At 50.0% G+C, this 27523-nt stretch overlaps 1 protein-coding gene across 1 annotated transcript in view, besides 1 other annotated feature; it reads left to right on the top strand.

Annotated features, from left to right (window-relative positions):
• NOS2 (nitric oxide synthase 2) overlaps positions 1-27523 on the top strand; it is a 43764-nt gene that overhangs the window by 475 nt on the left and 15766 nt on the right. Inside the window, exons 2-13 of the mRNA NM_000625.4 lie at positions 1173-1355; positions 10367-10451; positions 11124-11246; positions 12229-12377; positions 16949-17111; positions 17949-18040; positions 18878-19019; positions 19149-19288; positions 20999-21173; positions 21264-21365; positions 25604-25798; positions 26812-26894. Of these exons, the coding sequence (NP_000616.3) occupies positions 1246-1355; positions 10367-10451; positions 11124-11246; positions 12229-12377; positions 16949-17111; positions 17949-18040; positions 18878-19019; positions 19149-19288; positions 20999-21173; positions 21264-21365; positions 25604-25798; positions 26812-26894 (1559 nt within the window). The 5' untranslated portion in view covers positions 1173-1245. The remainder of the gene's footprint in view (positions 1-1172; positions 1356-10366; positions 10452-11123; positions 11247-12228; positions 12378-16948; positions 17112-17948; positions 18041-18877; positions 19020-19148; positions 19289-20998; positions 21174-21263; positions 21366-25603; positions 25799-26811; positions 26895-27523) is intronic.
• Positions 16549-17048: an enhancer, noted in NCBI's record as "H3K4me1 hESC enhancer chr17:26110033-26110532 (GRCh37/hg19 assembly coordinates)". NCBI's record gives its function as "activates a minimal SCP1, AML or CMV promoter by ChIP-STARR-seq in naive H9 embryonic stem cells {active_cell/tissue: H9 hESC(naive)}" and the evidence as "EXISTENCE:reporter gene assay evidence [ECO:0000049][PMID:30033119]".

Genomic DNA, 27523 nt, shown 5'->3' with positions numbered 1-27523 from the left:
TATCTTATCAGTCCTTATAACATGTAACCTCCCCACAAATCCTGGTAAGATGGATATATTAAACCCATTTTATGGATGAATAAATGAGTTTCAGTTAAATAACTTGATCCAGGACACATAACTGGTAGAGCTAGGATTCCAGGATTTGAACCCAGGTCTATGGGGCTATAAGTTCTTTTCTTTCTTTCCCTCTTTCCTTCCTTTCCTTCCTGTCCTTTCCTCCCTTCCCCTCCCTTCCCTTCCCTTTCTTTCTTTTTTTTTTTTGGAAACAGCCTTGACTGCCCAGCCTCAAGCAATCCTTCTGCCTCAGCCTCCCGAGTAGCTGGGACTACAGGCACAAGACACCATGCCTGCCTGGCTAATTTTTCAATTTTTTGTAGTCAAGGTCTCCCTATGTTGCCCAGGCTGAACTCGAACTCTTGGACTCAAGCGATCCTCCTGCCTCGGTCTCCCGAAATGCTGGGATTACAGGCGTGAGCCACTGCACTTGGCCTAAAATTCTTACATGGACTATATTCACTACACTGTCTTCTAAAGACAGAGTTTTTGCCTCTTTGATCTTCCTCTTGTCTGTTTCAAAGGAGATGATCTCAGATTTCGAGGGATGAGTGCATTTTTCACAAATATTTCCTCCCCACATAATAAAAGAGGAGCAAGTAATAATGCTGAGTTAGAACAACAACTGCAAAATCTTTAAAAGAAAGGTAGCTACAGCTTGAGTGCTTTCCCCAGTAATAGACCTAAAACTACAGTTGATAATGAGAGCTGCTGGGAAGTGTCTTTCAGGGTCAGGCAAAGGCACCCCTGTTTCAACGACCTCCGGGCTCTTCCTCACCCTGCCTGTGGCCAGTGATGAAGCCTGGCTGGGTCTGGTGGGCCAGCAGGTCCCGCTAAGGAGGCTCATGGTGCATACAGTTTGTCCTTGTTAAGTGGCGATGGGGATGGGGGGGTTCATTGTTTTTCCTTAAGATTATTAGGTGGCTTTACAGAATTGAAGTCTGTGTCCGAAGGCTCCCCATTCCAACCCCGAAATAGAGACAGAGGTTGCAAAGCATTGATGAAGGGGCTCATGCTGGCGTTCATATCGATTCCCCAGTGAGCCAACCCCACTGAGAAGCCCTGTTCTGTAAACTCTTCTTCAACCTTCCCTCACCTCTGCTTCCCTTCTTCAGCCCCACAGTGAAGAACATCTGAGCTCAAATCCAGATAAGTGACATAAGTGACCTGCTTTGTAAAGCCATAGAGATGGCCTGTCCTTGGAAATTTCTGTTCAAGACCAAATTCCACCAGTATGCAATGAATGGGGAAAAAGACATCAACAACAATGTGGAGAAAGCCCCCTGTGCCACCTCCAGGTGAGTTTTCCCTGGGGGAACCTCCTGCTTGTCTCCTTGGGCACCCATGCCCTGTCGGCACCGATGACTCAGAATTCCTCTCTCTGCTCCTCCTCTCTCACCTGAGGTCTGATCTCCTCATTGCTTCTTGAAAGTCCCTGTTGGAATTCAATGCAGCCGCTGATTATTGGGCACCTCGCTGTGCCTGACGGTATGTGAAGAAGGAAGGGACATGGTGCGGGGCTGGCCCTGAAGAAGCTTGGAATCTTTGGGGAAGAATATGGGAAGGAGCTTGGCCTGAGAATGGGAGGCAGTAGAGCCTCGTGGTGGGCACCATGGCGGAGGGGTGGGGGTGGAGGGTCAGCATCCTGGCCTGCGTCCATTCCAATTCACCGCTTGCTAGATGCTTTGAATATCATCCTGGTGAAGGGCATCAGGATGTTAGACAAACTAGTTCCAAGCCCTGTGCTGGCCGCACTAGTTGCCGGGTGCTGCCTCTAGCCAGCTGTGTGACGCAGGGTAAGTTAACCTCTCTGAAACTTAGTGCTCACCTGTGGTATGAGGAACCCAAGGGGGCCCTCACCATAGTGTGCTGAGGATGAAATGAGATCTACAGCACTCAGCACTGTGCCCACACAGAACAGACACTTAGTCCACATCAGGGTTCATCACCATCTACTGAGTACCTGCCCTTGCCAGAGCTACACAGGCCACTTGACAGACTTTGCATCTCAACTGATCTCTGTGGCGGCTCTTTGAAGTTCATATGATTGACTCATTTCACAGATAAGGAAATAGAAGCTCTAATAGGATTATGACTTCCCCCAGCCTGAATGACCGGTAATTACAGAGTTTACAGAGTTGGAACTTGAGCCCAGATTTGGATTCTTCATGTCCCTCCTCCCCGGGCCCATCCTTCCTCCCAGGGCAGAACCAAGAGAATGAGTCAGTTAATGAACAAGTCAAGGGACAGGCTTGAGGCTCGCTCAGGTGGAAAGACAAAGCAATCTGCAATAACGCAATAGTGCAACTGAAACCAAAGCCCCCATCTACACAAGACCACCACATAGCCACACAACCCCACCGCCCCAGAGGAGCCTTTCCCATGGACTACAAAGGGTAGGGCGCCCCCTGGATGTGTACAGCATGACGGCCCTGAGTGTATCTGTCAGAGGCGGCAAAAAATGCCAGTGGCTAAGAGGATGGGCTTGGGGATGAGCAAGTGGCTTTGCCACTCAGTAGCCCTGTAACCTTTGGCAAGTCCCCTAGCCTCTGAGCCTCAATTTCCTCCTCTATAAGAAGAGGGTAACAATGGTGATTTCCTGGAGTTGGAGGAAGGAGTAAATGAGCTTTCCCATGTGAGCAACTTAGCACAGGGCCTGGCCTGGAGTAAGTGCTCAGCAAATGGCACTGTTGGCATTGCTATCATTAGCGGTGGTGTTGGCAGTTAGGAGGTGATGGAGCAAAATTGAACAGAGTTCCCTCTAGGGGCTTCACAGAAGTCAGGTGGACTCTGTGGCCTTTGAAGTATGGGTAGAATGTAGACAGGTGCAGAGGAGTAGCAAGGACATTCAGGAAGAGGGGAGAGGTGAGCAGAGGCTCAGAGGCAGAAATGAGCCTGACTGTGCTTGGCCAGGAGTGGGCTGGGGGCTGGGATAGGCAAAGCCAGGCCAGAGCACAAGGGCTTGAATGCAGGGTAGGAGATTTGGACTCGCTCTCCCTGGCAGTAGGGAGCCATTGTAGGTTCTTGAGCAGGACAGTCTAGCTGTGGTGTGGTAGGTGAATTGGAGGAGAGGACTTTGAAACCAGGCAGTCTGGGCTATGGCAACTGAGGTGGCTAAGAGACCAAGAGGTGAGAACACAGAGTTGATGGCCTCTAGATGTCCAGATTCTAAGGGCTGTAGAGGGGCAGTGGCTTCGCCCCTTCCTTCTCTTCATCTCATCATTGCAGCCGCTGCCAGCTGACCTCCCTGACTCCAGCTCCCCACACTGGCTCTGAGCTCTCTCTTGCCAACTGGACTTCTAGCAAGTCACGCCCCTATTCTAGAGCCTGCAGTGGCTCCCCATTGCCTGTCACCACATTAAAGCTTCCACAGAGTTCTGAGCGAGCACCCTACCCAAATGGAGAGCCCATCCCACCTGCCCATCCCAGCCTTCCTCAGCTCCCCAGTGCCTGTGCATAGCACATTCCTCCCTCAGCTCATCCAGACCCAACTCATCCCCTATTTTTTTCTTTTCTATTTTTATTTTTTATTATTATTATTTTTAGACAGGGTCTCACTCTGTTGCCCAGACTTCAGTGTAGTGGCTCCATTTCAGCTCACTGCACTGCAACCTCCACCTGCCAGGTTCAAGCGATTCTCCCACCTCAGCCTCCTGAGTAGCTGGGACTACAGGCATGTGCCACCACGCCTGGTTAATTTTTGTATTTTTAGTAGAGACGGTGTTTCACCATATTGGCCAGGCTGGTCTCGAACCCCTGACCTCAAGCAATTCTCCTGCCTTGGCCTCCCAAAGTGCTATTACAGGTGTGAGCCACCGCACCTAGGCTTCTTTTTTCTTTCCTTTTCTTTTCTCTCTTTCTCTCTCTCTTTTAAAGCTGAGAATCTTGCTCTGTTGTCCAGGCTGCCCTCGAACTCTGGGCCCTAGTGATCTATCTGCTGTCTTTCCGGATCACCCTGAATCTCCCAAAACCCTTACGGTGTTGGCTGCAGCCTTTAACCCTCATCCCCACACCCTCTAATAGCATTGCCAGTTATCCCTATGTCTTTGGGGGCTGACTTGTGTCTTTGGACCATTCAGGAAATATGAGTTCAGACTCCAGGGAGGGCCCTGAGCTGCAGTGGACATGTGACAAACCAGCTAACTTGACCATGTTTTTCCCCCTCCTCTTCATGCTGGGGTGGGCTGGCGGAAAGGATCCAGTCAGATAGAAGAGGGGATGAAGAAAAAAATATCACACATCAATTCATTCAACTCTCCCAACGATCCACAAGGAAGGAATTTTAGTTATCCCATTTTAAAGATGAGGACCCTGAAGCCCAGAAAGTTAAAGTAATTTTCAAGATCTCATAATTAGCAAATGACAGAGCTGGGATTCAGATCCAGGCAGTCCAGAGGGACCCCTGCATGGGGCTGCCACCTTTGTGTCCTGGGCATGTCACATTCCATTGACGAGTACATGCAGATGCCCACTCCCCTGGCTCTGTGCTGGGAGTTAAGATATCAATGAAACCCTTCTGCTCATCAGTGAATTGTTTGAGCCACTTATTACTTACATACACCACTGCTAAAAACAATAGATAACATTTATAAGGTCCTTAGTACTGTGTCAATAATGAGACAGGAACTATTATCCTTGTTTTACAAGATTGAGTGACTTACTGGAGGTCAATTCCTGGAAAATAGTGGAGCTAAGGTTTGAGTCAAGTCCAAACTCATAACATCTACACTATCTGTGCTCTCCCAGAGGGCCTACTGTGTGCTGCACTGTTCAAGAGACAGAGAAAAATGACCCAGTTCCTGCTGTCAGGAAGGAAACGGGGAAACGGATGTCTTCCTCGCTGGTTTGGGAGACGTACATGAAGAATGCGAGTTGGAGAAATTGTGTCAGGAGTAGGTGGGATGGAGTGTAGACAGGAGGTCGTAGTTGTGGGTGTACTGGGACCGTGCTAGAGGCCTCTGCTGGGGAGACTGCAGAGGTGCCTGGGCAGGCTGTAGTGTGGGGAGGAGTTGGGGGGAGGAGGTGGGTCCACCCAGAGTGCAACATCCACTCAGGTGAGGGAGGGGTGATGTTACTGGAAGAGGAAGCAGCCGTGCAAAGGGGATTTCATCCTGAAAGCAATGAGAGCCAATGAATATATTTTGATTTTAAAAAGTAATTTTCTAATCTGTTCAGGTGTCATGAAACCAAGAGCCTATTCTAAGTGACTGGTGATTCTATACCTTCGTAAACAATTAGGAAATGAGCATGGTGTGTGTGTGTGTGTGTGTGTGTGTGTGTGTGCGCGTGTGTGTGTACGCATGTGTGTATTTTAGGGACAAAGGCAAATGTGGGAGCATCTAGGTGAAGACACATGGAATTCAGAACCAAGTCGAGCTATGTGTTGCTTGCTGGGCTGCAGTTGGCTAGAAATAAATATGTGCCCTCTTTCATTCTGCTTTAACTGGGGTTCGGGATTTAATGTGCTTGCATACTGCCAGAAGGGCCCCCTGCATGTTGAGGTCCAGGGCTGCTGCCCCATCTGGGTCTGGACCCTACCTGTTATCTTGCTTGAGATAAGGAGCACCTTACAGGCGGAGCAAAGTCAGGAGGCTCTGCGCAGTCCAGGTAGCAAGGACAAGGGGCCTGCAAGGCACCGGAAGGGGCTTACGATCCCTCCTGCAATATTCCTACTAGAAGTCACCCCTAACCCAGTGCTTTCTTTGGTTTCTTTTCTGGAATCGCACAGAACATGCTGTATGTAACAAGTAATATAACACTTCCCGGGACAGCCTTGTGAGGTGGTGTGAGCTTAGGCTGGGCTGTGGTCCTGGGGCTGCTGTGTGGCCCTGGACAAGATCCTTAATCTCTCTGGCCCCAGCTAATGCCTCAATAAAGTGGAGATGACAACGTAGAGCTGTCTGCTTAACGAGACTGGACGAAATGACAGAAAGGAAATTTGCTCTGTAAACTAGAAAGCACCGCGCAATGGTGGTAATTATCATAAGCTTTATTGCGATTTTATGGGGAATAAACAAACACGAGGCCCAACACGACCCGGGCATCTTAGCCCAGACACAGTCCAGTGCCATCCAAACTCCGCGGCAGACGCCGGCTGCGGGCCCCTGGGTGCTTGGGTCCCGGGATCGCCGGGGAAGGCAGGGAAGGAGGGGCAGCTCGGCCCGGGACATCGCGTGGGTGAAGAGCCCCCGCCGCTGCTCGGCTCGCCCCGCCCCCGGGGCGGGGGCTGCAGGCTCCGAGCGATAAAGCGCGGGCGCTGGGAGGCGCGTGGAGCCAGCGGAGCTGCGCCTAAGGAGCCGGGCCATGCGCGAGGGGCTGGGCGCGGCGTGCGAGGCCGCCGGGCCCCGGCTGTGCAGGCTGCTCTGCAGGATCCTCCGGCCGAAGCCTGACTGCTGCCCGCGCAGAGCCAGGTACCCCGCGGGCCGAAGTCCGCCCTGGGAGGGAAGCGGTGGGCTCCGAGCCCGGGCGGGGCCCCATCTCTCTCTGGGAGAAATCGGAGGGCGGGGATGTGCGCTCTGTGGGATTCCTGAGGGTTTACTAAAAGCGTTTTCCTCTTTTAGAACGCTTGAGAGGTCGCAATTCAGGAGCCCAGGCGGCCCAGAGAAACCCCCCATGCACTATGAGAGGCGTCTATGCGGGTTCAGTTGCGCTGCGAATGTTTCAGCACTTGGGAGCTTTTGAAATTTTTCAGCACTGGGGTTGAAAGTTGCTACACTCTTTGGATCAAATATGGTTAAGAGAGCAAGGAGGTTCTTGTTTCACAAATGAGATCCATTTCCCAGGGCGCCATCCCCCCCACCCTCCCCATCTGTCCCCACCACCACTCTTGGTGTAAGGCGAGGTAAACAGGCAGGGAGGCGTCGGAACCGCAGGGGAATCTGGCCCCCAGGTCAGCCCAGGCAAGCCACAGTCTGCAGCTGTGACCGGCTCGGCTGGTCAAGGGCTTGTAGAAAGTTCTGGGTCTAAGCAAGCCACCACACTCACAGCACTCCCCACGCCCCCGACCCCTTTTTTTGATAGGGTCTCACTCTGTCACCCAGGCGACAGTGGCGCCGTCTCGGTTCACCGTAGCCTCCACCTCCAGGGCTCAGGTGATCCTCCCACCTTAGCCTCCTGAGTAGCTGGGACTACAGGCGCGCATCACCACACACTTGGCACCTTTTTTTTTTTTTTTTTTTTTTTGTAGAGATAGGGTTTCACCATGTTGCCCAGGCTGGTCTTGAACTCCTGGGCTCGAGTGATCCGCCCACCTCGGCCTTCCAAAGTGCTGAGATGACAGGTGTCAGCCACCGCGCCCAGCTGCCAGCACTCTCTTTGAATGCAGGTCCTTGAGGGTCCTCAGGACCCCGCACAGCTGTGGGTTTAGTCAAATTGCACGAGCGTCTGCGGGGTCAGAATCAACAATGTGATAATTTGGAAAGAAGTGTCCAGATTCTGAAGGTGCTCACCTGGAGTCTGGTCACCCTGTCACCCTGTCTCCCAGCAGCCAGCCAGAAGAAATGGTGTGGGAGGGGACTTGGGCAAAACTTTGTTTATTCATTTTTCAAATTTAAAGAATTGTCCAATTATGAAAGGAATTCATTGTCACTGTAAAAAGTTGGAAGATGTGGAAAAGTATAAGAAAAGTTAAATTGCCTATGATCTTATCACTTAATGCTAGTCACTGTTAACATTTACTAACATTCCCTCGAGGTGTTTTTCTGTGCTTGTACGCACACACACACACACAGCCAGCATCAGACTGTGTATACAGTTTAAGGCATTATTTATATGAGGGCAAAACTAGACACAGTCTAACATCCAGCCATGGACAATGGGACCAGGCTAATCGTGGCCCATCTGTAGAGTGGATTTTTAGCCAACTTTTAAAAGTGATACTTTTTAATATATGGGGTAAAATGATTATGTTAAATGTACAAAGACATTGCTTCTCAATCTAAACAGTACTGTAGATGTTTCTGGTCTGAAGCTTCTGAAATTGTCCAACTCTACTTCCAGAAGTAAGTGAGAGGAAGCAAGAATGGGTGCAGGGTGGGTGCTGGGGTGAGGGGGAATGGCAAAAGAGCAAGAGGGGCAGTTGTCCCCTGGGGACCCCATCCCCCATACATCTTCCTATTGAAGCAGCCCCATGGTGACTGCTCAGCCATGGCTTATCTGTTCTGAATATCCAGATTGCCATATATATATATATTTTTGTTTTGTTTTGTTTTGTTTTGTTTTGTTTTTTTCTGGCAGGCCACACCAGTCTAGACCAGGTGTGTTAAAGAAAAAAGTATTCAATGATACTTGTTAAAGAACAGTATGGAAGTCTTTATTTAGGACCATCTCAATAGGTACAGGGACCTACTGCAGTGGGGTCTGGCAGTGGAGGAGAGAGATTGGGCCCAAATCCAAATACAGCAGGAGCAAGTGGGAATTTATAGCCAAGGATCAGGGTGGGGTCTGTGGATGGAAAATTACCAAGAAAAACTTCAGGCATAGGGGGAATTCTGCCTCACCCAACCTAACAGGATTCTTGCTTAGGACAGGCTAAGGTGATCAGACATCGCCTGGGGGAGGATGGAGGATGAGGACCCTGATCAGATGGGGAGGACGACAAGCTATCAAGGATGGAGGGTTCTTGTTAAACTGACTAAGTAGGGATTCTTTTGCTAAAACTGCATTTTTACAAGGAAATGCTTGGATGGGCCCCGCAGAAGATTCAGAAGTCTGAGTAAAGTTTGGCTAAGCAAAGCATCTTTGCCAGTTGGCAATGGTTGGTCACATGGAAGGCCCTTTACAGGGTTGTGGAATCCCTTGATTCAGATATAAGTTGCTTTCTGATACATACTTACATCCTCTTTTAAGACAGTATCTCTTTATAGTAAAAAATCACTTACTGCTACTATGTAATGTATATAATTAATGATATAATGGTAACATATAGTCATTTTTTTCTATAATAAAAGCAATACATGGTCATTTATCGCATTTCAACATCATAGATACATATCAAGTAGAAAATGTGAGACCCTCATAATAGTCTCTAACCACCTCTCCCTCAGATGCACAAGCATGCATACCCTGGAAAATACTGCCAAGAACATGGAACACAATATGCTTTCAAACCAAGGTGCCCTGGTGGGATGATTCTTCCTAGGGGAGGCATGTGTGAGTGGTGACTATTCAGTTCGCCGGAATGAACCTGAAATCCCAAACCAGGACAAACGGTTTCTGACCGGTTTCAGAATACTGAATTTTTAAGTAATCTTTAATTTAAAAAATTACTTTAAGTAATGTTTAATTTAATTTGTAAGTAATCTGTAATTTAATGCTAATTTTTACAATACTTGTTTTTACCTTGGTGAAGGTAAGTTGACATCTTAGATTTGTTTTAAAATAATGATGGGGGCAGGGAAGGTATAGGTGAAACAAGATCGGCCGTGGATTGATCACTGTTGAATTGGGTTGAATCTGGGTGAAGGGCCCATGGAAGGTTATTAGACTATTCTCTCTACTTTTGTACACTTAACATTTTCTGTAATAGAAATGTAGAATAAGTAAATAAACCAAGATAAATCACGTGTTTTAAATAAAGCTTAAGTCATGAAAAACAAGTGGCTGGGGCTGGGCGCGGTGGCTCCTGCCTGTAATCCCAGCACTTTGGGAGGCTAAGGTGGGAGGATCACTTGAGGCCAGGAGTTTGAGGCCAGCCTGGGCAACATGGTGAAACCCCATCTCTACCAAAAATACAGAAATTAGCCAGGTGTGGTGGTGTGCGCCTGTAGTCCCAGCTACCCAAGAGGCTGAGGTGGGAGGTTCACTTGAACCTGAGAAGTGGAGGTTGCAGAGAGCTGAGATCATGCCACTGCACTCCAGCCTGGATGACAGTGCAAGGCTCTGTTTCAAAAAATATAAATCAATCAGTCAATCAGTCAACCAATCCAAGTGGCTGCTGGGCAGTGCTGCTAGTCTGGGAGGCAGAGTTGTTGGAGCCATTCTCTGCCCACCCAGCCCCTGTGCCACGTTTGTACTTGGCTTTTCCAGAGGGTGAAGGAGCATTTTCCAGATCCTCTATGGGCTGCTGTTTGGGCCAGTAGCTTTGGCTCAGCTCTGCTCATGCCCTTTTGGCTCTGCGGGAGGAAGAAGATAAGAGGAAGAGGGAAGATGGGGATGGGGAGGCAGTTGGTCAGACCGACCATGAACAATTCACTCCCACCCTCTGGACTCAGTTTCCCTATTTGTCAAATGAGGTTACTGGCAGAGGGAACTCCAAGATGCCCCTCCACCCTTGGATACCGCATCTCATGCTAGCTGTTTCCTTTCACAGTCCAGTGACACAGGATGACCTTCAGTATCACAACCTCAGCAAGCAGCAGAATGAGTCCCCGCAGCCCCTCGTGGAGACGGGAAAGGTCAGTGAGTCACATGGGTGTGGGAAGCCCCTTCCTCCCTGGTCCAGGCAGATGCAGACATAGCAGCCTGTTAGAGCTGGGCTGGAGAGGGCAGGAAGCCAGGGTTTGGATGGAGAGTGGAGAGTCCCAGACCCGGGGTGTTGGGGGGAACAGGTGGGAATGAGGAAGGGCTTTGGGAGAGTGAGACAACCCCCAGTGGTCGGGAGTGGTGGCCCCCAAGGTGCACTGACAGCTAGCTTCTATCTCCTGGGTTCCATACCATTCTAGAGAGGTGGGCAGAGAAATGGGTAGGAGTGGGAGAGAGGGTGGCTTATATGTCCTTACATGCTCCCAGGGAAGGAATGCAGTGGTGCCTTTCTGTTCTCAGTAGTATTGGCTCTGACAGTCATCCTTCTCACCTCCAACTTAGTCTTTAGTCCCTCCTACAGCAGTTCCTCTGAGGAAGCATTTGGCAAGGCCCTGGGTGAGGAGAGGACCCTGGCCAGTGGCCCAGGCACCTGGAGCTCTTAGCAGGCACTGGCCCAGGTCGCCCGGGGGCTGGAAACAGAGGAGGGACGTGGAGGGACACCCTGCCCTGTGTGGCCACCCATAGATCCTTCCCCACTCTAAGACAAGGCAGGGCCTGGGGTCTAGGAGAGACCTGAGAGAAAACCCTGTTTTTTCCCCTTGCAGAAGTCTCCAGAATCTCTGGTCAAGCTGGATGCAACCCCATTGTCCTCCCCACGGCATGTGAGGATCAAAAACTGGGGCAGCGGGATGACTTTCCAAGACACACTTCACCATAAGGCCAAAGGGGTAAGTCTGGGGCTTCAGGGAGAACCACCTTTGTCCCAAGCTGGTGAAGCTGCCAGGGCTTTGTGGATCAAACAGGTGTCCCCCTGGGCAAACCAAACAATCATCTGCTTGGGCAAAGGGGTCTAGGAACAGAGACATTCCTCACAGATTACAGTAGGAAGTAAATGATGCCAACTCCCTGTTAACCACCCCAGTAAATAATGGATAATCCAGAAGGTCAAATAAATGATTGCAGAAACAAATTCATATCTTTCTTAGCCGGATTTCAGGATAATGTCAGGGAGAATTTTCTAACAGAACTGCTCAGAGCTGGACTGTATTACATCAGGAGGTAGTGAGCTCCCTGTCACTGGAAGGATTTAAATGCAATTTGATAGATTGCAGAGGGGTTCAAGTATCCTGTGAGTGGTTGGACTAAATGTCTTTTCAGGCTTCTTTCTGTCATGTAAGTTTTTAATTCTAACTTCAGGATACATTCTATGGTTGTAAAGTGGGAAAGAATGGACAATTTCAGGACCATGAAAGCAAAATTATTTCCCACATGCCCCCAAACCACCACAGTTAACATTCGGGTGTACTTCATTCGTGTGTGTGTGTGTGTGTGTGTGTGTGCACGCGTGTGCCTTCCTATGTCTCATTTCAGTTTGTTTTGGCCAAATACCAATATCATGTTCCCATAGGAGCCATATTGGATTGACTTTGCTCTGGATCTGGAGCTGGCTGGGGAGCAGGGCCAGAGACTGAGTCCGGAGTAGGGAGAAAAACCTGACTCACACCCACTGGGGTTCAGCCAGTGGAAGAGAGGAGATCTAGGTGGGAGAAAGCCAGGTGGACCCCAAGGAGGAGGTGCCACAGGGGTGGAGAAGAGGTGCAGGGAGCCGGAGCAGCCAGAGAGGAGCCAGGTGGCCAGGAGAGCTGGCCCCAGAGGAGGGTGGCAAGAGGCCGAATGGCCCACCCTCACCACCTGCCTCTCTCTTTCCAGATTTTAACTTGCAGGTCCAAATCTTGCCTGGGGTCCATTATGACTCCCAAAAGTTTGACCAGAGGACCCAGGGACAAGCCTACCCCTCCAGATGAGCTTCTACCTCAAGCTATCGAATTTGTCAACCAATATTACGGCTCCTTCAAAGAGTAAGGCTTGCCTCCTGCAGGGTCGCTGCCTCCTGCCCTTCCTCCTGCTCTCCTGTCTCTACCCATCACCCTCTGATCCTAGCTAGATCCCTTTTCTTTCCAGATTTGTGGTGTTAAATCACTATGATTTTGCAGAGCGAAAATCACGGTTTTCTAGGGGAGAAGACCCTGGAGCAGGTTCTCATAATTGTGGGATAACGTTGTACATAGCAATACCAGTTAAAAGTGACTGAATTCGAACCCTGGCTCCCGCATTGTGTCTGAACGTCCTCATCATATTAATGGCAAAAACTGCAACTACTTTTGCACCAACCTAATATAAAATGGGGATAATAACAGAAGGTGGCTCATGAGATTTTTGTGAGGATTCAGTAAGTTCAGAACAGTGTCCTGGCATCCAGAGACCTTGATTGTGAATTAATATGGACCCTTTAATTATGAAATGTTTGAGACAGAAAGGATCTCTGAGACCACCTAGTCAGGCCCCTACTCCTACAGGTGTGAACATGGAAGCTGGTGACATACCTGAAGTCACCTCATTCCAGCTAGAAGCCAGGCCACCTGACTAGGAGAGGGCAGGCCATTGCTCTTTGCCCTGACCCTGGTGGGGTTCTACATTTCTGGAGTTCTCTTCTTTTTTCTACCCAGTGAGGCTTCCCTGAGGACCATGCTAGACATCCTTCATTTCTATGGCCAATTGGTCATTTGGTTGACAGACACACATCAGGCACTGAGTATGCCTCAGCCTTGTGTCAGACACTGGAATACAAAGATTTTTAATTGTCATTTGCCAATTTTATTGCCAACGTATACAATTTTAATCATCCAAAGAGAGGTTGTATAGCATTGTGGCCTTCCCAGGTTCAAATCCTAGCTGTGCCCCTTACGAGCTGAGTAACCCTGGGCAAGTTACTTTGTCTCTCTATGCCTTGATTTTCTTACCGAAAATGGTGATAATAATAGTACCCACCTTGCAGGAGGAGGGTAGTTGGCGGGAGTTTATAAAGATGAAAGGAGTTAAAGAATATAGAGCTAGGAACAATGCCTGGGCCACAGTAAGCACGACATAAGTATTAGCCATTTTCATGTTTTTAGAACACTGCGTTGTCCAAATAAAATATGTGGCTATGTAATTTAGGCCCCTTTAAAACTTTTAAAACAAAAATGCATGAAGAGATTGTAAGAAAGAATGTCTGAAAGAAATGGATTGTTTTCTTTTTGTTTGTTTGTTTGTTTTTATTTTTGTTTTTTGAGATGGAGTTTTGCTCTTGTTGCCCAGGCTGGAGTGCAGTGGCACGATCTTGGCTCACTTCAACCTCTGCCTCCCGGGTTTAAGCGATTCTCCTGCCTCGGCCTCCTGAGTAGCTGGGACTATAGGTGTGTGCCACTACACCTGGCTAATTTTTTTTTTTTATTTTTAGTTGAGATGGGGTTTCATCATGTTGGCCAGGCTGATCTCAATCCCCTGACCTTGTGATCCACCCACCTCAGCCTCCCAAAGTGCTGGGATTACAGGCGTGAGCCACCGAGCCCGGCCCAGAAATGGATTGTTTTCTAGGCTGGAAGGGGAGTGTTGCTATTAGGGGAGAGCCTCACACAGCACTGCACCACACAAAGTGAGCCACAGACATGTACCTGGGACTCCCTGGCGGAAAGAGTGGCTTCTGGTGGTACCACCTCCACTTTTCTTTGTCTTTTTTTTTTTTTTTTTTTTTTTTTTGAGACTCGGTCTTGCTCTGTCTCCCAGGCTGGAGTGCAGTGGCACAATCTCTGCTCACTGCAGCCTCGATCTCCTGGATCAAGTAATCCTCCCACCACAGCTTCCTGAGGAGCTGGGACCACAGGTGTGCACCACTATGCTTAGCTAATTTTTTAAATTTTTAGTAGAGACAGGGTCTCACTATGTTGCCCAGGCTGGTCTTGAACTCCTGAGCTCAAGCGATCCTCCTGCCTTGGCCTCCCAAAGTGCTGGGATTACAGGTGTGTGCCGCTGCACCTGGCCCACCTCCAGTTTTCTACAACCCTAGAATGTCTGAGCTGGGAGGGACCGTGAGTCTTCAGAAGAGGCCCTCATCTTCCAGGGTCGGTGGTCCTCAACCCTGGCTGCACAGTAGACTTACCTGGAAAGCCTGCAAAATTCTGATGGCAGGGTCCCTTGAGCCAAGGGCAGCAGAATCTGGGGAGATGGGGATGAGGCAGACATGTGTGTGCTTCAAAAGCTCCCCAGGTGATTCTAATGCACAGCCTGGATTGAGCAGCCTGTTAGGGGCTGCCTGCTTCCTGACTGCAAACTTCACAAGATCCTTGGCCTTTCAGCTCGGTTGTTAATTAATGAGCCTTTCGGGGTCCAGGGATTTTCCTGGATGGGTTTCATTGGGCCACAGTACTTATGTTATTTATTTATTTATTTAGCATAAAGCACGTGTGCACCATGACACTATGAGATTGGTATTATTGTTATCCTCATCTTACAGACAAGGCAACTGAAATCCACAGAAGAGATGTACCTTGCTCAAAGTCACACCCTTCGAAGCCCCAGAGTGGGGATTCGAACCTAGGCAGCTGGTGCCTGAGCCCTTGCTTTTCCCATCAATGCTCTAGTACCTAGCTGTGTGGCCTTGCAGGTTCCCAACTCTATTCTGGACGTGGGAGGCCTTGCTGTTGTGTGGAAGGCAATTGGGCGGGTGTTCAGAAGCCCAGCAGGGCTACAGGGCCATGCTTGGTGGTGTTGGAACCCATTTGCTTCTCCCAGAGGAAAATTGTATTTTTCCAAGTCACAAGTACATACCTTGAACCCCTGCTTCCCTGAGCAAGAGAACCTGGGGGTGTGAACGGGGAATGGCAGCCTCTCCTCACAGGGACCCTGGCAATCTAAGACATGACCAGCTGAGCAGGTTCAGTGGCCTTTTGTATCTGAAGAATCATAGCATATTTAGAGATTGTGACTTGCTGCATGTTACATTTAAATCTGTTCACTGATGATGAAAGCCACTCCTTTTTTTCAGAGCTCATAGACATCATAGCATTTCTAATGCCTTAGAAAATGACTATATGAAAATGGCTATCACATCTAAAACTCTGAAGGAATTGGATGTGAATGTAAAAAATAATCCTTTCTTGCATATGCACGTGCTGACCACCATGTGTGTTGGTGGTGTGGGTGTTATGGTGATCATTACTGTTGTCATGCTCAGGTGCAGAGGGGGGAATATTGCTGGAAGCTTTGTTTGGGGAGGGAGGTCTCCCAGCAGTGGGGTGGTTCCCACCTCACCCAGCAGCTCCTTATGGCAGGGGTGTCCTTGGGGATAAATATCATCAGTGTTTTGTCTTTGTGCTTTTTTTCTCTAATCAAGGAAAAGTTGTCGAGACACTCTTCATCCACAGAAAGGCCATTTTGTTCAGAGTTACCCACTCTCCTTAATCAGGAGTTCATTCTTTAAATAGTTTTGATGCTGTTTCAAAAGGCTTTGGTGCTGACTGGAAATCTCAAGGTTGTTGTTGTTGGTGGTGGTGGTAGTGTGTGTGTGTGTGTGTGTGTGTGTGTTTCAAAGCCTTTCTGACTGAGTCCCTCCCTCCCTTTGGGATATTTTTGAAGTCTGGGAGGGGAGGAGAGAAGCAAGTTTAGAATTGCATATGGAGTGACTGAATGAGCAATTCTGAGGCTGAGGAACAGCACGGTTTAGAGAGACTATGACGTGGGCAGCTCTTTTCTGGCCAGGCCCTGGGACCCTGCAGACTGAGCTCCGATAGCCAGGTCCCAGTCCTGGCTTGACCAGGCTCCTGAGAAGGGTGGGCAGGCCCTCAACATCTTTGGGCTTACTGTCCCCGTAGGGTGGAAGATGGAAGGTCACGTTGCTGACAGTTAAGAACCTGGGCTTGGCATCAGGGCGACCTGGGTCTGAGTCCTGACTTTGCTCTTTCCTGTACTTATGTTCCTGGGCCTGGTGCTTAACCTCCTAGAGCCTTGAGATCCTTGGCTATAAAATAGATGCAAAAATACCTCCCTCCCAGACTCAGTGAGACCCTGCCTGTGGGTTGCTTCACCCAGTGCCTGGCTCATGTGGGTACCCAGTACACCGGAGCTGCCACGGAGGGACTGGCTCATCTCTCAGTCATGGCAAGGAAGGAGGGCACTCTACTAACTAATGGAGAGGCAGGACATTGCTATGGCTGGATGGGACACTCCTCCCAGGCTTGCAAGTGTCTGAGAAGGATTGCACCCCTTACTGAGATGAATATGATTAAAGAAAAAGCACCTGAAAATAAGCAGTGTTCCCATGGGCTCAGGACTGGCTAGGTAGTATTTATAGGACTCAATGTAAAAATGAAAATGTGGGCTCTTTATTTTAAAATGATTAAGAATTTCAAGATGGGGACAGCAGAGCATTGAGCGTGGGGTGCTTCTAGGCTAAGTGTGAGGTCCCCAAAGCCAGCCCTGGAGGGAGCTGTCTCTGGTGAGAGGCATCTTGCCCTTCTGATGTCCTATTTCAGTTCCTGCTTCTGTGGATTGAATTAATCCCCATGTAAGGCCATCTCATTGTTGATCTTCCTGCTGTCTTCCTGTCCCCCAGGGCAAAAATAGAGGAACATCTGGCCAGGGTGGAAGCGGTAACAAAGGAGATAGAAACAACAGGAACCTACCAACTGACGGGAGATGAGCTCATCTTCGCCACCAAGCAGGCCTGGCGCAATGCCCCACGCTGCATTGGGAGGATCCAGTGGTCCAACCTGCAGGTGAACTTCCTTAGACTTGAGCGGGAGAGAGCTGGAGGCGGCCAGGCCCTGAGCAGATGGCTTGGAACAGCCACACAGAGCTGTGCCCAGGCCTCCTGGGACTGAAGCCATGGCCCTGGATCCTCTCTTACATTCCCAAATGTTGAGATGGGGCACCTAGGGTCCCTCTCTAGAAGCCTTGAATCCTGTTTCAGCACCAGGGTTTCTAGCTGCCCATTCTCTATTGTGTTAAATTCAGGAGACTAAATGCCATCATTAGAGTAAACCACGACCTTGTTTTTATTACACTTGAGGCCGTGGTGCTGCAAGATGTGTTGTTTTCCTCCAATGCTTGAATTCTTGGCTCCAAGAGAACATTTTATTTAGCCTAGCCTCCTAGGCCATCTTTTTGTTGGGGAGTCATTTGTTGCAGGATAATATCAAAAGCACTTGGACAGAGAAATCGATTAGAACTGCCAGTGAAACCAACTCTGGCTGTGTAGTATGTGCTGGTGTGGGAAAGGACCTAGCCTGGGGCTGTGGCAATCCCGATTCATGGTGCTTTCAAGTCAGGTTTTCTTGGAATTCTGGGTTTGCTGGGGTCTTCTGAGTGGGGTTGCCTGTGCTCCCCTAGAGGGCAGCCATGAAATGGGAGCGGTGGTGCAGATGGGAGGCTGAATTCTTCTGCATGGTGTTGAGTGGCAGGTGCAGATTGGAGGCTGCACTCTTCGGCATGGTGTTGAGTGTTTGTGTGTTGAGTGTTTCGGCTGCACTATTGATTCCCAGTGACTTCTGATCAGCCTCAAAGCCTCTGTCTACCCAGTCTTTGATGGGCATGGTCTGGATGGGCTGTTGCAGGTCTTCGATGCCCGCAGCTGTTCCACTGCCCGGGAAATGTTTGAACACATCTGCAGACACGTGCGTTACTCCACCAACAATGGCAACATCAGGTCGGTGCACATTTCCCAGGGCTGCAGAGGGGCTTGCCTTGCCTGAGAATCTTAGCCAAAAGATGCAGCACTTGGGTCTAGGGGAGGCATCTCCAGCTCCAGGAGAAACCAGGGAGAAAGAAAAAAGAGAAAGACTCAGGCTTCTTCGGGGACTTCCAGTAGTGAGCCCAGCCCCTGTGAGCTCAGCTCCCATCGGCAACCCATGCCCTTGGTTTCCTTCTGATGTGGAGCCACTTGGAGGGGATGGAGGATCTTTAAGAAGTAACTGCTTCACTATTCAGGGTTGGGGCTCCCATTTTTTAGAAGGCATGGGACATTAAGAGGTTACCTTCCTCTCCCAACCAACGAGGTCAAAGCTAATAGGACTGAACAGCTCATTTGGTCATTCATTCATCTTTTTGTTCAGCAAACACTCAGTGCCTACCTAATGCAACTCAACACAGGACAAGGCTGGGAGAGCAGGGGGAAGATGGGGTATGGGGGGGTAGGAGGAAGAGTGACTAGGACCCTAAGATGCTGCTCCAGCTGGTGTGAGCCTATGACCTGCACTAGACAGGCAACCAGCTAACTCAACTGCAAGGACGGAGACATAGGCAGTGAGGGAAAGACTGGCAGATCAGCTAACCCTGCCTGATGGATGGGAAGGCCCCCTTGAGGGGGTGGACCCTGGGTCTTGAGGGAGGGCAGCAGGAGAAGGCATGTCAGGAGGCTGGCTCAGTCAGCTTGGGATCAGGGGCTGCAGAGCAGGTAGGGTGGAGAGGGAGGTAGGGCCAGTGCAGGATGGCTGGGCCCCCACCAGGGCTAGGTGGTAAACAGTACTGTTCCTGTCCTGGGAAGGTCGGCCATCACCGTGTTCCCCCAGCGGAGTGATGGCAAGCACGACTTCCGGGTGTGGAATGCTCAGCTCATCCGCTATGCTGGCTACCAGATGCCAGATGGCAGCATCAGAGGGGACCCTGCCAACGTGGAATTCACTCAGGTACCCGGCCCAGCCTCAGCCACCGGCCATTGGGGCGGGGAGCCCCGTGGTGAGCGAGTGACAGAGTGGAGCCCAGAGGAGACACGCAGCCCGGGCTTACAGACTCACAGGGCCCGTCTTGTTCCCCAGCTGTGCATCGACCTGGGCTGGAAGCCCAAGTACGGCCGCTTCGATGTGGTCCCCCTGGTCCTGCAGGCCAATGGCCGTGACCCTGAGCTCTTCGAAATCCCACCTGACCTTGTGCTTGAGGTGGCCATGGAACATCCCAAGTAAGTAGGCTGAGGGTGCTGGGGGCAAGGGCGAGTCAACACACAGCCCTTCTCCTTTCCTAAGTGCGGCTCCAGCCTTCCCCATACCTTCCCTAAAGCCCAGCCAGCAGCAGGTGACACTCAGGGGGCTGGCCTTCAAGGACTCTTTTGTCACTGTTGCATTCTGCAGCCATTCTGCACTGGCACCTCGGGCCTCAGACAGGTGGATGTGTTGATGCTGAGGGGAAGCAGAGGCTTAGGCGGATGGGGCCCCAGGAGCTTGAGAAGCAGTGACTGCAGGAGAGGAATGCATTGAGATTCTAGAAAGGAGCAGCCCAGGCCTCTTCTGCCCTCCTGCCAATGCTCTTAGCTGTCCCTCTCCTGTCGGGATCATATAGGGCTGCAGTGACTTCAAGAGTCCTACTGGCCCAGCCCCTGCTCTAGGCAGTTCTCATAATTGCAAAAATACCTCTGCGTATTGAGATTTACTCTGTAGCAGACATTGGGCTGGGCTCTTCTTCCTGGCCGTTGAATGAACCAAATTCAGTCCTGACTCACAGCCTTTGTACTCCCTGTTCCCTTTGCATGACATGCCTTTTCCTCAGAATTTTTCTAGGCTCATTTCTTCTTGTCAAAAGGTATTTCCTATAATGTCACCTCCTCTGAGAAGGCTCTCTGACCACTCAAGCTAGAGGAGGCCCCCTTACCCTCAGTCTAACACATCATCTTGTTTTTATTTCTTATATATTTGTTTACCCATTTATAATCTAGAGTCTAGACATTAGACTACAAGTTCCTTGAGGGTGGAGATCTTTTCTTTTCTGTTCACAATGTATACCCAACAGCTAGCAGAGTGCCTGGCACATAGTAGGTGCTCAGTTATAAATATTTGTGGAATAACTGAATATACAAGTGAATGATATTACTAGCTTTATAATAATTCCATGAATTTGATGCTATGTTTCTATTCTGATAATGGGGATGTTGAGGCTCAGAGAGGCTAAAAAACATCCCAAGTTCACACTGCTAGTCAGAGGCAGAACTTGAACCCCAGCTTCTGACACTGGAGTCCTTAATTGCTCTGTTGTGTTGCATTCTCAGCATTTAGCACAGAGCCTGGCACATACTTGAAGCTTAATATAGGTTTGCATGAATGAATGAGTGCATGAATGCATAATTTAATAAATGGCATCCTATGTGTCCAATACGTCTCTCTGGCTGGGATTAACTCAGAATCAACTCTTGGAAAGGAGTTTTCTTGTTTGACTCTTTCTGAAGCTTTTTTCTTGGTGGGCAGGTGGGGGGTCAGTGGGAGGCCAAAGGTGCAAAAGTGAAGCCCCCAGCGCCAGACAAGGTAGTTCACACCTGTAATTCCAGCACTTTGGGAGGCTGAGGCAGGAGGATTACTTGAGGCCAGTAGTTCGAGACCAGCCTGGGCAACATAGTGAGACTCTATAAAATAATAATAATAATAATAATAATAATAATAATAATAATAAGGAAAAAAATTAGCTGAGCAAGATGGCACATGCCTGCAGTCCTAGCTACTTGGGAGGCTGAGGCAGGAGGATCGCTTGGGCCCAGGAGTTAAAGGCTGCAGTGAGTTATGATTGTGCCACTGCACTGCACTCCAGCATGAGCAACAGAGCAAGACCAAGTCACTAAAAAAAAAATAATAATAAAATAAAAATAAGGAAGGCCCCAGTTAAATTGTGTCTACCTTTTTGCCAGATACGAGTGGTTTCGGGAACTGGAGCTAAAGTGGTACGCCCTGCCTGCAGTGGCCAACATGCTGCTTGAGGTGGGCGGCCTGGAGTTCCCAGGGTGCCCCTTCAATGGCTGGTACATGGGCACAGAGATCGGAGTCCGGGACTTCTGTGACGTCCAGCGCTACAACATCCTGGAGGTAACCCAGCCAGCCCAGCTGGCCAGATGAAGGTGTGGGCCTGGGGGTGGCTTCAGGGACCGACTCGCCGCTATCACTCTGCCTCTGTAGGAAGTGGGCAGGAGAATGGGCCTGGAAACGCACAAGCTGGCCTCGCTCTGGAAAGACCAGGCTGTCGTTGAGATCAACATTGCTGTGCTCCATAGTTTCCAGGTATGTCTGGAGTTTTGTGAGTCTGAAGACTTTTTGGTGAGAAGCTTAACTGATCCAGTGACTTATGTGATGCTTAATTTATAAGTAAGCCCCCTTGCTCACTCTAGAGGTCCAGCAACAGGCAGCTCCTCACCTCCCAAGACTGTTCAATCCCTGTACTTGAGCACTGAATTCTGTCCTCTCTCAATCGCTCAAGGACTTTACTCCCAAAAATTTTCCTCTTCTCTCTCTGTATCATCAATGTCTCTCTCTCTGCTGAGTCATTCCCAGCAGTGTACAGACAGGCTCTCTTAGCCCCATTTCAAAGAAAGAAATGAATAGCTAACCACATAACTCCTGCCAAACCTCAGGCTCCCTCCAGCCACTGCCTCACCCTTCTGCTCCTTTCTACAGCAAAACTATGGAGAGATCTCATTGTGCTTCCTCATCCCCCAACTGCTTCAGCCTGGCTGGGCGACAGAGCAAGACTCCGCTCAAAAAAAAAAGAAGGCCTCCCTGACCGTGCCATGTAAAATGACGCCCTCACCCCACTGCCAACCTGTCTCTCTGTGTTAGTCCTTTAACCATTTTATTTTTCTTCAAAATACTTCCTCATACAGTTCCTGGCATTATATAGGACATCGACTTTCTTCTTTCTTTTCCTTTTTTTTTTTTTGAGACATCATCTCACTCGGTCACCCAGGCTGGAATGCAGTGGCATGATCACTGCAGCCTTGACCTCCTGGGCTCAAGTGATCCTCCCACCTTAGCCTGCCGAGTAGCTGGGACTACAGGTGCATACCACGCTTGCCTAATTTTTATATTTTTAGTAGAGATGGTGTTTTTCCATGTTGCCCAGGTTGGTTCCGAACTCCTGGCCTCAAGTGATCCGCTTGCCTCAGCCTCCCAAAGCGCTGGGATTATAGGCATAAGCCACGGTGCCGGGCCAGCTTTCTTTATTGTTTGGTTTCCCCCACTAGAATGTAAGCTCCATGGGGCAGGGACCTTGTCTGTCTGTTTGCTGCTGCACCTCTGGCCTAGAAGAGTGTCTGGCACATGGTAGATGCTAAAATAATTTGTCTTTGAAGAATGAATGATGAGGGCCACATCCGCGATCTGGCCTGGCACAAACTGGGTCTTCAGTCCTTGTCTGACGTGTGCATGAATGAGTGATGCTGGGAGGGGACCTGTGAGCTGTGGCTGCTCTTGCTTGCTGTGCGAGGATAACAACCTCCACCTCCTCTTAAGCCCACACACAGCCGCTGGGCTCCTGTGTAGGGCTAAGCCCTCAGGCCCATCCGCTGCTCTTACTCATAGAAACACTTCCCTTCCCTGTGGGAAGGAGGCCTGAGATGTAGGAAGATACTACTTTAGAAGCCACAGCCATTGCCACAAAGCTGACAGATGCCCTGGAGACCCCACCACTGGTCAGTCATTCATTCATTCAGCAGTGTTTTACTCAGCATTTGCCTGGTGCTGGGCACTAGGCTGGGCCAAGGATGTGAGTGGTGAACAGAGTACAGATGAGCACACACTGTTCCCCATGACTGGGTCACCCCATAGGCAGATCAGGCCTGTGCTTGACGGGGGAGGGGAAGATGGAACAGGAAGAGCCCCCCGGTGTTTGGGGAAGGGCTGGCTTTGCACCACACATCCTGACTCCTGGGGACTCCCAGCACCAGCCCTGATGCTGGCAGGATGTGGATACGTCCCAGAAAATCTGTGAGCCTCTGCTGTCTCCTCACCGTGGCTGACTGTGTCCTTCCACTGCCTGAGCGTCTCCAGGACTTCCTCACCACCCTCCTTCAGGGTAAACTTCAAAAGATGGGCCCTTGTTTCCTCCTCTGTAAAATGGGGATAATAGTGCCTCCCTCATCTGAGGATTATAAGAGTTAAGTAAAAATGCATGCAAAATGTTTAGCTGCACTGCCTGGCCCATAGACAACACTCAGTAAGCAATGATTTTCTTACTGTTTATTATGTTGTCATCATGATCGTGGCTACCACTGAGTTTTTTTTTTTTTTTTTTTTTTCCTTTGGAGATGAACTCTCCCTCCATTGCCTAGGCTGGAGTGCATGGTGTGATCTCGGCTCACTGCAACCTCCGCCTCCTGGGTTCAAGCAATTCTCCTGCCTCAGCCTCCCAAGTAGCTGGGATTACAGGATTGCACCACCATACCCGGCTAATTTTTGTAATTTTAGTAGAGATAGGGTTTCACCATGTTGGCCAGGCTGGTCTCAAACTCCTGGCCTCAAGTGATCCACCTGTCTCTGCCTCCCAAAGTGCTGGGATTACAGGTGTGAGCCACTGCACCCATCCTGTAGCTACCACTGAGCTTAGAACTGATCTGGCTCCCAGGAGTTGCTGTGTCTTGGAAGAATAAGTGAATGAGAGCCCACGTCCACAAGAGTGGTGGCCGGACTTTTATATACACATATATAACTTATGTATGTCTATTGAATTTACAAGGCATGGCTGGCCTTCCCAGGCCTGACACCAGCTGGATCCTCTCATGCCTCCCTGCCTTGACTCATGCAGTGCCCCACTCAACTAACTTGCACCCCTCTCACAAGTCTCCCTTCCTCTCAGGAGCTGCTCCCGAAATTCGCCAACTCACCCTGGGCCTCTGTCTGGCGTTGTATCCTCTCTTCTGCCCTTCCCCAGCACCTTTGCCTGCCTCCATCAGAGTTTCTATCAGGCCGTGTGAAAATGACTGATTTTCCTTGGCTTCCCCACCCAGTTAGACTAGACTCTAATGCAGAGAAAGGGCTGTGTCTTTCCCTTCTATAACGCCGATGCCTTATGCAGTGCCTGGCAGATGGAGATTATAAGAGCAGCTAATATTTATTAAGCACTTACTATGCTTTGCTTATTCCAGCTTATTGCATCCTTTCAACAACCTCATGATGTAAGAACTTTTTTTTTGGAGACAAGGTCTTGTTTTGTCACCCAGACTGGAGTGCAGTGGCCCAATCATGGCTCACTGCAGCCTTGACCTCCTGGGCTCAAGCAATGCTCTTACCACATCAGCCTCCCACATATCTGAGAACACTGGCATGTGCCACCAAACCTGGCTAATTTTTAAATTTTTTTGTTTTTGTTTTTTTTAAGACAGAGTCTCGCTCTGTCACCCAGGCTGGAGTGCAGTGGTGCGATCTCGGCTCACTGCAACCTCCGCCTCCCGGGTTCAAGCGATTGTCCTTCTTTAGCCTTCTGAGTAGCTGGGATTACAGGTGTGTGCCTCCACCATGCCTGGCTAATTATTATATTTTTTAGTAGAGACGGGGTTTCACCATGTTGGTCAGGCTGGTCTCAAACTCCCGACCTCAGGTGATCTCCCCGTCTCGCCCTCCCAAAGTGCTGGGATTATAGGTGTAAGCCCCGACAGCTGGCCTACTAATTTTTAAATTTTTATAGAGACAGGGTCTCACCATGTTTCCTAGGCTGATTTCAAACTCCTGGGCTCAAGCAGTCCTCCCACCTCGGCCTCCCAAAGTGCTAGGATTACAGGCATGAGCCACTGCACCTGGCCATTATAGGAATTCATATCACTCCCATTTCACAGATGAGAAAACTTAAAGAACTAATTGCTCAAGGTCACATGGCAAATAAAAAGCCAGAGTTTGAACCACTGTGTTAAACAAATGTCTCTTGACTGAATGGGTTGCCACAGACATAGAGGCCAGTGGCTGCCTTGCTGGACCATTCCATGGGGTCAGACCCCACAGCCCGTAATTTCAGACTGTGAGTGATTCGTCTCCCATACACTACAGTTCTCCCAATGCTTCAGACCTCCCCACGGAGGGGTCTGGCTCCTTCTTGGCTGAGGAGGCTACAACCCCATGGAAGTGACTCTTAGAACTCTCCACCATAAATGGCTGGGATGGTATTTCCTTTACCTGCCAAAAGGTGCTGTGGTTTAAGTTATGCAGATCCAGAGAGAGCCATTTGCTGGGAGTCTGGGGAGACCTGTGGGCATGAGAGGCTGGATATTGCCCTCAAAGACTTAAGGGAGGCCCCCATGGGACCTGTGGGCTGACCCTGACTAATGTGCTTTCTTGGGCTCTGTCAGAGGCTCCACAAGCGCCTTCCATTTGGGTGTTTATTTTCAGCAGGCAAGGAGAGGGCCAGGAGTTGCTCTCCCGTGTTACAGATTGCCAGGCCTTCCCAGGCACTCTCTGGGAGCCCTGCGGCCAACCGGCCCCTCTCCTGATTCCCCCACCCTTATCTCCACTCCCTATCTTGCCTTCTGATACAGAAGCAGAATGTGACCATCATGGACCACCACTCGGCTGCAGAATCCTTCATGAAGTACATGCAGAATGAATACCGGTCCCGTGGGGGCTGCCCGGCAGACTGGATTTGGCTGGTCCCTCCCATGTCTGGGAGCATCACCCCCGTGTTTCACCAGGAGATGCTGAACTACGTCCTGTCCCCTTTCTACTACTATCAGGTTAGGGGCCTTCCTCTTCTCTCCTTCCTGGGGGCTCAGATGTGGCTGTATGTGTGTGTGTGTGTGTGCACCTCATTGTTACACATGTAGGGCACGACGGGAAGCAGGAGTATGTTGTTAGAGCTTTCCAGGCCCCACTCAAGGATGCTGAGCAGCCTTTGTGCATTTCCACGGAGAGTGGCACTGAAGGAAGTGGCTTCCACTGCACCGCTAGTGGCCTGTGGCTCAGATGGGGGGTCTGTCATTACACCTGCTTCCACGGGAGGGCCCGGCAACAGTCACTCAGCAGAGTGTTGAGGGGATTGGCCCCTGAGTCAGACGCTATTGATTCTGCCACTTCCTAGCAATAGGGTCTTGGGTGGGTCCTTTCACCTTTCTGAGCCCTGATCTTCTCATCTCTAAAAGGGATGGGCTTCACTCCACGACGGGGGGTTGTGTGGATCACAAAGCTGGTGTATGGAACAGCTCAGCCCAGTGCCCAATGCAGAATGCATTCAGTAACCATGAGCTATTGAGAAGAGTTCATTTTGTGCCAAAAAGGACTTGGGTTGGATTTTAAGAGCTTCCTTCATCTAAAGGAAGAGCTTCCTCCATCTACAGGACCTCACATGCAGGGTGACGGCATGTCCTGGAGTCTTGCCTGTTGTAGTAGCAGCTCTTCTTGCTCTCAAAGGTGTCTCGGTTGGGACTGTACATTATGTCATCTGCCTGCTGATAAGATGCTAAAAGCAAAAGGAGTGCAGCCTGTTCCTTCCAGGAGGACACTAATGAGAATAAGGGTTAGCCGCCCCCCCTCGATGTGCAGGCTCCATGCCGGGCAGTGGAGAGGCAACTCTGGGGGAGAGGCAGCCACGGCCCTCCCTTGTGGGAGTTCAGTGACAGGGGTGGGGCGCAGGCCAGCCTTCTCTCCCAGGCTCATGATGGGTGTGAAGGGTCCTCTACCACTCCAGCATCCGCGAGCTGAGCCAAGCCAGGACCCCGCCCTGCCCTCACATCTCCTTTCTTTTCTGAAGGTAGAGGCCTGGAAAACCCATGTCTGGCAGGACGAGAAGCGGAGACCCAAGAGAAGAGAGATTCCATTGAAAGTCTTGGTCAAGTGAGTGGCAGTGGCAGTGGCTAGTAGTGATGTGTGAACTATATCTCTCCCTTCTAGTCAGCCTCTGCCTCCAGTCCTTGAAGGGCAAGAACACAAGGAATGGTTATGCTTTTTGCTTTTGTTTTTGAGACAGGGTCTTACTCTGTCACCCAGGCTGGGGTGTAGTGGTGCCATCACAGCTCACTGCAGCCTCTGCTTCCCGAGCTCAAGTGATCCTCCCACCTGAGCCTCCCAAGTAGCTGGGACCACAGGTACAAACCCACGCCTGACTAATTTTGTTTGTTTTTTTTGTAGAGACGGGGTCTCGCAGTGTTGCCCAGGTTGGTCTTGAACTCCTGGGCTCAAGCGATCTTCCTGCTCAGCCTCCCAAAGTGCTGGGATTACAGATGTGAGCCACGGCACCCAGCCTGGGAATGTATATTCTTCGTGGAATTTGGCTCCCAGAGGTCCAGTCGCCAATTCCAAGGGTCCCCTGCTGCCATTGTTCCAACCTTCTCTCTCCTCCCTTTTCCCAAAGGGGCCTATAGTAGTGGGTGAGGGGAGGAAAAGGGTGAGTTGTCACGGTACATGGCTGGTGAGAAACGTAGCTTGCTTTTCCCTCAACCTGCCCCACATTAAACGCTGTCCCC

The sequence above is a fragment of the Homo sapiens genome, chromosome 17 (genome assembly GCF_000001405.40).
Source record: "Homo sapiens chromosome 17, GRCh38.p14 Primary Assembly".
Taxonomy (NCBI): Eukaryota; Metazoa; Chordata; class Mammalia; order Primates; family Hominidae; genus Homo; species Homo sapiens.
The sequence above is the reverse complement of the archived record's forward strand: the minus strand, read 5'-3'. Positions and strand labels throughout refer to the sequence as shown.